Source organism: Homo sapiens, chromosome 1, assembly GCF_000001405.40.
Source record: "Homo sapiens chromosome 1, GRCh38.p14 Primary Assembly".
Classification (NCBI taxonomy): Eukaryota; Metazoa; Chordata; class Mammalia; order Primates; family Hominidae; genus Homo; species Homo sapiens.
In genome coordinates, this window is record NC_000001.11 from 184,311,252 (window position 1) to 184,322,552 (window position 11,301).

General features: G+C 37.3%; 1 annotated feature.

The window, feature by feature from the left end:
• Positions 536–694: a silencer, noted in NCBI's record as "fragment chr1:184280921-184281079 (GRCh37/hg19 assembly coordinates)". NCBI's record gives its function as "represses an EF-1alpha promoter that drives an FKBP-Casp9 reporter gene in an ReSE screen in phorbol 12-myristate 13-acetate-treated (for megakaryocytic differentiation) K562 erythroleukemia cells {active_cell/tissue: K562(+PMA)}" and the evidence as "EXISTENCE:reporter gene assay evidence [ECO:0000049][PMID:32094911]".

The window sequence follows — 11,301 nt, forward strand, 5'->3', positions numbered from 1 at the left end:
GCTTCTAGGACTGGATCCTTCTCTTCAAGGCAGCAGGTTCCCTTCTGACCCAGGGTGTGTCTAGAAATGTCATCTGGGATCTGGGGCCTGGAACGAGGAGGAGAGTCATGACTCTGTCCAATGCCCTATTTGGCCAGCTATGGCTGAGCGAGTATCCAAGATGGAAGACAAAATCCTCCCCACTCTTTCCTCTCCTCTCCTCTCCTCAAGTGGAAGGAAGGGGTCTCTTTTGGAGCCACGAGTTGTGCAGCCTGGGGTTAGGGGAGGGATGATGCCAGCACTCCCTTGGCTGTCCCAGCTTTTGTCTCAGTATGTTGCATGCCCCCACAGTCCACTGTCTCTGGGCCTAGTTCAGCACTAGGACTCACCTAAGAGTTGCAGTCCTTATTGCCTAGACTGCCTTTCAAGTTTACTGAAGACACAGAGCACTGTAGCCCTCCATGGTGAGGTTTGCAGGCACTCAAGTTCTGACAGCTGGGACTGATTCCCCTCTGCCTAGGGCTGGTTTAAATGTGCCCTCTGTGGATGGGTGTCAGCTGAGTTTGGTCTGGTTTTCCTTTCTGCTGTAACAAGACAGCACTGAGTTCAATGTCTCACAGCTGCTGTGTTCTCTCTCCCCCAGTGCTCTCTGCACCACTCTGTTGCTGCTGCGGGTTGGGGAGGACTGGTGTAAGCGATTCAGGACTGTTTTTCTCTGTCTCTTCAGTGCCTCTTTCAGCAATATGAAGTTAAAACCAGGTACTTTGAGTGCTCACCTGATTTTTTGGTTCTTATGAAGGTGTTTTTTCTGTGTACATAGTTTTTAACTTGGCATCCTTGTAGGGGTGGGAAGAAGATCTGTGGAGCCTTCCATTCCACCCTCTTGCTCCATCTCTCATTTGATGCTGTTATAGACTTTAGTTCTCTGGTGAAATTTTCCCTCTTGATGTCTGTTTTTCTTTCTTAAAAAAAATTTGACACGTGATTGTACGTATTTATGAGGTACAGTTTGATGGTTTGAGACATGTATGTTGTATAATGATCAAATCAGGGTATTTAGTGTATCCTTCACCTCATGCATTTATCATTTCTTTGTGATAAGAACATGCAAAAGGCTCTCTTCTAGCTATTTTGTAATATACAATGCCTTGCTGTTAACCATTGTCATCCTGCTATGCAATAGAACACCAGAACTTATTTCTTCTATCTAATTGTAACTTTGTACCCCTTGACCAACCTCTCCCCATTGTCTGCTCCCCTGTTTCCTCCCTAGTCTTTGGTAACTACTGTTCTACTCTCTGCAACTATGAAATCAATTCTTTTCTTTTCTTTAAGATTCTACACATGAGTGAAATCATACAGTATTTGTCTTTCTGTACCTGGCTTATTTCACTTAACATGAGGTCCTTCACTACCATCAATATAGTCACAAGTGACAAAATTTTATTTTATTTTTTTATAGCTGAACAGTGTCCCATTGTGTATGTATACTACATTTACTACATTTTCTTTATCCATTTATCGGTTATTGAACACTTGGGTTGATTCCGTGTCTTAGTGATTGTAAAATGTGCTGCAATAAACAGGTAACACAGATATCTCTTTGTCATACAAATTTGATTCCCTTCGAATATACACTCAGTAATGGGATTGCTAGATTACGTGGAAGTTCTATTTTTAACTTTTAAAGGAATCTTGATACCATGTCCCTAGTGGCTGTACTAATTTACAATCCCACTAATAGTGTGTAAGTGTCCCCTTTTCTTCACACCCTTGCCGACACTTGTTTTCTTATGTCTTTTTAATAAAATCCGTTCTAACTGGAGTGAAATGGTATCTCACTGTGGTTTTGATTTGTGTTTTCCTGATGATTAGTGTTGTTGAGCATTTTTTCATGTACATGTTGGCCAACTGTCTGTCTTCTTTTGAGAAATGTCCATTGAGGTCTTTTGTTCATTTTTAAGTTGGGTTTTTTTGTTTTGTTGTTGTTGTTGTTGCCGTTCTTCATATATTCTGGATATAACCCCCTGTCAAATGTGTGGTTTGCAAGTATTTTCTTCTATTCTGTAGGTTCTCTCTTCACTCTGTTTCCTCTGCTGTGCAAAAGCTTTTCAGTTTGATATAGTTCTATTTGCCTATTTTTATTTTTGTTGTGACATCTATCTTTCTTGAGCATATTAATCGGTTTTCTAAAAGTCCATATCTCATAATTCTAATATCTGAGTTAACTATGAATATGTTTCTCTTGTCTTGTTTTTAAATTCTGTTTCTTGATATGTATAGTAATAGTTTATTGAATGTACAGAATTTTTAATGAGAAACTGTAGACAATTAGAATTATGTTGTCTTTACCCAGAGAAATTTATCCTATCCTTTACAGACAGCTATAGGAAAGGAGATCACATTGATAAAAGCAAGGAGTGAGCTGACACAAGTCTGTTGTAACCTTTGTAAGGCTTTGTATATCTCTGGCACACCAACTGAGAGCCTAGGGCTCTGACTAAAGCTCTTCCTCCTTGGCAGATCCTGCAGAGCTCCATGTTCTATCTCCTAAGGAGATATCCCCATGAGACTGCCCCAAATTCTTTTTTGTTTTTCACCTGCTTTCTGCTTTACCTTTTAACCGCTTATCTATGCATCTTACAAATTTAACAACCTAGGTGAAAGCGAATTTAACACTTCTAGGTGAAACAACAGATTTAGCACCTCTAGGTGAGAGCCAGAGTATCCTCATGCTCTCTTCTCTCAGAGATCTTGGGTCCTCAGGTCCTGTCTCCCTTGGCAGTCCTAAACTCTAATTTTTTTTCTCTCTATGAGACTGCTGAAAGCTTCACTGGCTCTGCCTCTTAACATCCACCTTCTGCTCAATTCTCAACCTTTTTTCTTGCCCAAAATTAGTAAAATCCCTGAATGTGACACAGAGGATATCAGGGTCCTCTCAATTAGTTTCTCTCTTCTCTGGGATATTGGCTACTCACATCCTGGATGTCCTGGCTGCTCTTTGATGCCATGTAAGACATATGTATTTTGTATTTTATATGGATTTTCCAGGTGTTTTCAGTAACAGACTTGTTCTGCTACAAGATACTCTATCATGACCAAATTAGAATGTTTCCTATAATAGAAATATATAATTTATCTCTTTCTGCTTCCATCTTTCCAAAATTGGCTTTTGGTTCTTTCTCAGATACATGAGAATTATCTTCCAATACTACTTAAATGTTTAATGACTTTGACACGTTAAGGCTGAGCCTCCCTAGTTCATACTTCTGATTATATCCAGAGTTTCAAATAAGAGAATGTGGCTGTCACATATTTCCTGAGTTATGAACTTCTGATCTAATGTCTGGGAAGACATATTTCCTTAATCTGAGTTTTCAAGCTTCAGGTTAACCTCTGCTAACTTCCAAGTTTTGCAGATGTAGTGAAGTTCTTCCTGTTGCTCAGAAGTAGAGTTTCCTTATTTATTCTGCAAACATTTATTTGACCCCAACAATTTCTTGGTTATTTCCTTTTTGAGCCTACATGTTTGCTATAAAATTCCTCAAAATGAGGAAAATATGAGACAATTCTATATAAATCTGTTCATATACCATTACTATTTTCCCTGTCTTTTGTGATTCCTTTAAAAAGTATCTTTTAACTATATTTGGAATTCATCCAATGATGCCCATTTATTACAACTGCATTAGGCATTATTAAGTCAATTAAAATATATAATTCAGTAGGCAGTGCATTGAGCCTAATTTAAAAGGCATATATTGGAGCCATAATGGATTGCTGTGTTGTCAGATATGGCAGTTCTTCAACTGTTGCTGATAAAGATGAAACTCTTTTTTGAAAAGTAAAAGACATCTGCAGCTGCTTTGAAAGTCAACTGACATTTTGTTAATTAGCATTTATTTACAATAGTTGAATAACAATATCAAACTACAGTAAGGAATGAGCAGTTAACATTTAAAAAAATGCTGGTGACATTAAGTTTCATCATTTGGCATCTAGTTAAAAACACAGATTCTTTCAGGGGTATAGAAGAGAAATCACTGATGTCTGTTTAAATGTAAAATAAACTGGCAAAGGAAGCTAGAGCTGCCAGAGAGGGCTTAAGATGTGGCCCTGGGTCTTAGAATGGAATAGACGTGCAAACCATTAGTTGAGTGTCCAGTTAGGCAAGAGGGGAGGATAAGAAGAAATAGAAGAAATTTTTTCCTTATTATTGGCTTTTTAAACACATACCAAATTATCACTGGAATTTTGTCAGTCAGCAGATTCCAGATGACTAAGATGATCAAATTAAGATGTCACGTTCAACTCATGTCCTGCAGTGTTTCACCATCAACCTCTGGGTTTGAAACAAGCAGGGAGTAAGAGGAAAGAGAAGAGCCTAATTTTATCAGGAACATGTTGGTCTATAAAAATTAATATCAGGCTGATCCAAGGGTAGTGAGTTATCTCAGTTGATTGTTCACGGTCACAGATCGAAGTCCTTGTTCTACGCTTTCTCCCTTCCCACTACTGTACTTGACTAGTCTTTAAGAGAAAGAAAGAGAGAGAGAGAGAGAGAGAGAGAGAGGAAAATGCCCACAGTATTAATTTTTTGTTTTTTTCCCCTCCCTAAGACTCCTAGAAAATTTAAATGTCAAAACTAAAAGTAAGATACTGTTATTAAAAATAACCAGTGGTATGTTACCAAATTTCCAGTTGATCTTAAATGCTGTTATTAATAAGTAAGTACATAATTTTACCATAATTCATAGAGAACTTCATTTGCCACATCAGTCTTCATCCCCTGTAATTGGTACTAATGCTAAACATTTGTTAACGAAAGAGAAAAAATAAATTCTTCCACTAGTTTGCCTTTTTCCTTTCCAAGACTGAAAAATATTCCATTACATGTATAAAGCCCGTTTTGTTTATCCATTTATCTGGACAGACCATTTTGATTTTATGAGTGTTTGGGCAAAAATGTGACCAGGATCATCTTCCTTCAGAAAGGACTTTGGTAGCTCATGTTAGGAGCTAGGGAGGTGGGGGAGCAGAAGAGCACCCCAGGAAAACTTAGCACTGGGTGGACAAAGCCTTCTCAGCCATTTCGCCTCCTTGTACCTCTTGGTGATCCAGCACTTTTTGCGTATTGCTCTTTCTTCTTCTGTATCAAGCATATCATTTTGATAGCAATGCCCTAACCCCCACCCCAACCCTAAGCTCTCATTCTGACATCTCAGTGTGATGGGAAGGTAAATAATATCTACTGTACCCTAAGCAAAGCTTAGATTTTGATGGTTCAGGATTTTTGCACCCTTGAGATCAGAAAATAATCCATTTTTATTCATCTATTTCCTCTTTCTCTCTTTTCTGCTCCTTCTCTCCCTCTTTCTTCCCCTCTTTTATTTCCCATACTCATGATACTTATTTTGCTGTGATATATGTGAGTCTATATTCTTTCCATGAAATCAGTGGCTAATGCAAAGAAACATACCATTTACCTAAATAATTTTTCTACTGTAAAAATGTTTCTGAGAAATTCTGCTTTTTTTTTTTCTTCATTTGGCTTTGTATCTTCAGGGCTCCAAATCCTAGGGGAAAAAATAATAGTGAGACACCAAATACCACAGCACAATATTGTATAGTTCAATAGGAATTTGAAATAATAAAAAATCTGGAGACAGATACAACCACTTACATCAAACTTCTCGGTAGGTTCTCAAGACATGTATCTTTCTGAAGAATCATTTCAACTCAAAATTTGCTGTAGGTAAAAAGAGCACATGACATGTCCATCCTTCTCTTTAGAAAATGAAGAAACATAAATCAACTTGAGTTTCTTGCCTCCAGAACAGTGTGAAAGATTACATTGGAAATGTATGTTCTCCCCAACCTAGGCAGCTTTCTAATTCTCTCTTAAGAAAAGGAAATTAGTGATTTTGATCAGAAACAGTCTCAAGCCCACATCCCAAAGCAAAATTTTTTATAACCAAACTGTCCCTAGAAATACATCTACCATGAACTAGATAGTCTGGTTCCATAACAAAGAATTGTAAAATTTTAGAGATGGAAGTATCTTGGTCCAAACCTCTAACTGGATGTTTCTCCTCTAGTTAACAAAACAGAAGTTATATCACAAAAAGAGTAGGGACTGTGTCTTACGTGACACATGATCATTGTAGAATACTGGTAGTAGTATCGCCGTGTTTCAGTGGTTTGGAAGTGAGAGGAAAGACAGAGAGAAAGGGAGAAAGGAGAGGGGAGGGAAGTAGGGAAGAAAAAACAAGAAGGTGAGTATTGGTATTGTTTAATATATATATTTTTGCCAATAGCCTTCACTATTTAGAGTAGCTAATTAAGTTATCTCAGCCAACCACTTATAAAGATACTAATATTCCATACTTAGGGTTGAGGAAATTGAAGTTCAAAGAATATAAGCTCATATATTTTTAGCACACTGGAGGAAAGAGGCATTGATAGGAGAGATAGAATTTGTTTTTAACAGGACATGGGACAAGAGAAAGCCTGTGAGTGACAGATGCACACTTAGTAAATGCTTCCTACCTTTGACTACAGGACTGTAATGAAGAGATCATAGTTAGGCCAGTGAGTTACATAGACCCTGTTCATGGCTCTGGATTAGTGTTGACTGAAGTTAATTTCTTTCCTATCTGTCAGAAGTGGCAAAGGAAAAAGTGATAGCAGGAAATAGAGTGTTTTCCCTCTGTAAGTTCTAATTATTACACTAATGTCTCCTTGAACCTTCTCACCAATTGTGGGATGTAACAGATTATAGAATTATAATAGAAAATGGCCTAATATTGTTGATGCTAAAAAGCAGGAAAACATCACCTTGATTGGGGCAGTGTCATACACCAAGATGTAAGTTTTTATTGTTCTGATTTTAGCTTCTAGAACAATCAGTGCTATGACTGATTGGGCTAATAACTGATTTTAGGAAAAGACAAAATCTCCTAAGTGCATTTTGTCTGCAGTTTGTAAGCAGGACTTTGCTGACACATCCTTTAAATAATTTAGAAAAAGTGAAAGGCTCTCAAATTCACCAGCATCTCTTGCCTCAAGACACACAATTCTCTTCTCAGGGTCTCTAAGACAATGTTCTGAGGCTTCATGAAGACTTTTCTGAAGAATGTTAGACAAATCATTTAACTTCTTTTTGCCTCAGTTATTTTCCATTATAAAATGAGAAAGATGGACTGGTCTCCAAGGCACATGCCAGCTCCAGCCCTTTGTGGTTCACTGAAAGGTCAGTGTATGGAGTGCTGGATTTGTTCTTGATTCTTCTGCACCAGTGCAAAGAATTATACATAAATTTTCATCATCATGATCATCATCATGATCATCATCATCCCAACAACCACATCTGTTATATGGTAATAACTGTGTGTGTAGTATTTCTAATTCTCGCTATAATCCTTGAAGTAAGCATTATTTTCTCCAATCGACTGATGAAGAAATTGCACTAGTTTAAGAGTCATTTAATATTGAAGATCAATTTGAATATGAGGCCTATATGACATTTTCAAAGCTGATTCACCAAAAAAGTTTTTAATACATATATATTTTTTGCTTAATTCTTTTCTTTATTGAGGGATATTTCCTGAGGCTAAATTCACTAGAGAATAATTGTATTTTCAAAGATAGGAGGATGAATTCTTTTCCAAGGCAGCACAATTCTCACTCCATCTATCATGCAGTTCCTGAATGTATCTTCCCACGAACAGAATGAGCCACTCCTTTCTAATATCTTTTTTGGACCCTGCCTGAATTTCTGGCACAGCACCTGTTACACTTTATGGAATGTAATCATTATCTGCCTATCCCCCTCTTATTGGATTCTACCTGTGAATCCTTAAGAAGATTACTGTTTTCTATACTGGGGGAGATTTTTAAAAATATTTATAGTTCCATTAGTTCAATACTACTTGATATATAGTAGGTATTTAAAAAAAACAACCTTAAATGAATGAATGAAATGTTGATAAATTTACTTTCACAGTATTGTATAAATTTAAACTACAAGCAAAAATAATGAGTGTGTTTTATGTTTTCTACATTCCCATCAGCATGGTAGGCTGGCAGGGAAAATGCCCTTAAGACTTCATTCCTTTCCTAGTCCCACACTCTATGAGATATTTGCAAGCACTGTCCCTTTTAGTTTGGGAAATCCTCTCAGTTCTATTTAACTTCAAACCAGCAACCATGATATGATTTCTAGCATTTCTGCTTCATCTCTATTCTATGTTCTCCTTCTTCCCTTATTCCTTCACTATTGACAGCCAGTTGGATGGTGAAACATTGCTCTACAGTTTCTACTGACAAGATCATAAACATTGGAGATGGAAATGGTCACCATCGTCTCTCAGGTTATACCATTATTTCTTGATTGATCTGCATTAGACATTAGTTATTGGATCTCTGCTGAAGTTGGGCTGTGATTCATCTCTTGGCCCTCCTCCTCCCTGTACACTTATTATTTATATTTTCTCTGTTGGATCCACCTAACTTATTTTCCCATCAGTATGCTTTCTTAATTTATACCCTCAATTTGTTGAGGAGCACATACTCAAGTAACTTCCTACGAAGGGTGCATGAAAGATAGGTTTTTAACATACTGGTATATCTGAATATATTTTATTATTGGGTTAATCACTTGGCAGAGCATTATATTTTAGATTGAAGGCATTTTCAACCTCATGATTTAAAGACGTTGATCAATTTTCTTTTAGCATTCACAGTTACTGTTGAAAAATTTGCTGCTAAGCTGGATCTCATCCATTTGTATGTGACCTTTCCCCCACCCCTCCAGTCCTGCTCCCACTGCTGCAAACTATGATCTCACACCCTATACTTCACTGAGATATGCTTAGATGTGTATAACTCTTCACTAACCCTTCCTGGTGCCCGGTAGTTTCCTTTAGTAGGAATGTTGTGACTGTCTAGTGTCTTTGCGCAGGTGTCACCATCTGAGTAAGGCCTTTCCTGACCACCCTATTAAATTTGCACACCTGCCCCAGCATTCAGTGTCTCTTCCTTTCCTGCCTAATATTTGCCCATAGCACATATCAATCTCTTAATTTCTGAATAACTTACTTATGTTTTTTTCCCTCTTCCTTCACTTCAGCAGGAATTTTGGTCTATTTTGTTCACTGTTGAATGCCAAGAACTCTGTTCAGCACCTCGTAGGTATTTAATAAATATTTGTTTAAAAATGTTTCTGCGGGGAGGGAACTTAGAGGACGGGTCAATAGGTGCAGCAAGCCACCATGGCACATGTATACCTATGTGACAAACCTGTACATTCTACACATGTATCCTGGTTTTCCTTTTTTTTAGAAGAAGAAATTTTAAAAAGGAACACTAGGAGAAACACTGAGATAATACTCTAATTTTTGAAATAAAATCAAATTATGTAGTACAAAAAGTGTTTTTGCTTCTTATTTAAGAAAGAGGCAATAAAAGCTTCATCTGCATGTGTAAGGCTCATTAGCTCTCAGGTTGAGTGTACAGGCAGCTGTCCATGAGGAGAGCTGGCTATCACCCTGTGGGACCCCCAAATGAGAGATTGGAGAATTATTTACACTAGGGTGCAGACATCCAAGTTTCTGCATGCTCAGAGATAGTTCATTGTGAAAAACAATTAAGATACAAAATTTTATTTAGGGTTATGAGTAAATATCTTTAAAAATAATATATGTCTGTCATCCCAGCACTTTGGGAGGCTGAGGCGGGCAGATCACGAGGTCGGGAGATCGAGACCATCCTGGCTAACACGGTGAAACCCTGTCTCTACTAAAAATACAAAAAATTAGCCGGGCATCGTGGCACATGCCTATAGTCCCAGCTACTCGGGAGGCTGAGGCAGGAGAATGGGGTGAACCCAGGAGGAGGAGCTTGCAGTGAGTCGAGATCTCGCCACTGCACTCCAGCCTGGGCGACAGAGCGAGACTCCATCTCAAAATAAATAAATAAATAAATAAATAAATAACTAAATAAAATAAAAATAATATATGTGTATAGTAGGGGGGTGTGTGGAGAGAGAGAGAGAGATGGGGGATGAAGGGTAGAGAATGAGAGAAAGAATAGAAATCGGAAGTGACTCCACTGAAATAGACAGTAGTATTATTGGTGGTTATTTTTAATCCCCATATTTTCCTGTATATTTCAAATTTTTATATTATTGTAAAAATTTACAATAATATAAAAATTAACAAAATATGTTTTCAAGATGCTGCAGTGAGGATTATGTATGTGTGCTGGGTAATGTGAACTGCTCATGTGAATATCTATTCAGCACTTCCTCTTCATTCCAAGTTTCTGATTCTCCTCGTCAGCTTTCTACTTTTTTTTTTCACTTTTTAACCATTTGGAAATACCACTTTAATGTAGATCTGGGTTTATTTAGAAATCTTATATTTGATAGAGGTGTTAGCATTTCTGCTACCTAGGCAACAAAATATGGTTCTGCTGCTAACATCTTTTCATTTTTAGCAAAATGAAATCTTAAAAATCTTTTAATAAACTTGTAAAAATAAAAGCCAGACTTAAATATACTCCTTGCCTTAAAGAAAAGAAACATGGGGGTAATAAGTACAATGGGCAGCATATAGGACCATGTTTCTTGGAGAATGTAGAACAAGTTTGGAGAGAGAAAGAGGGGCGCACATTTCAAAATAAAACCAAAACAATTCAGAAATACCAATTAAATCCACTACTAATTTTCAAAGTTTGACTAATTGCTTGAAGAGCACACTGATCAACTACAAATGTTGCATCTTAAATATATTTAGACTCACATATACTATTTTTTAGATTATGGAAATATTGCACCTTATTATAGAAAACATGAAAGTATTGAAAATGCATATAAAGACTCCAGCTAAAATACTCTATCCTAAATATCAGAGATAATCTCTCTAGGATGCAGTTTTGAATTCTACACTTTTACTTAAAAATTATATTGTAAACATTTATCATACAATTATTAATTTCGTCAAAATCAGAATTCTTCAGAACCATCAACATACTATGGTCTAACTGCTCCAATACAATTTCTCATTTCATTTCTTTCCAGTTTTTGATATAATAAAATGTAAAGAACATTCTGGTGCAAAAAGGGTTGTCTGCATCTCTTTGTCATTCCTAATGACAGAATTCTAGAAGAGGCTCCTGAAGCCTGATGCAAAACACTCTCCAGCAAGACAGCAGCACTGCATGCCCCCGCCGCCACCTCCCCCCATCCCCAGGTTACATGACAGCGTCCCCCTGACCCTCTCTAGCCCTGAGTTGACAATTCAATAGGTCAAATGTGATGTT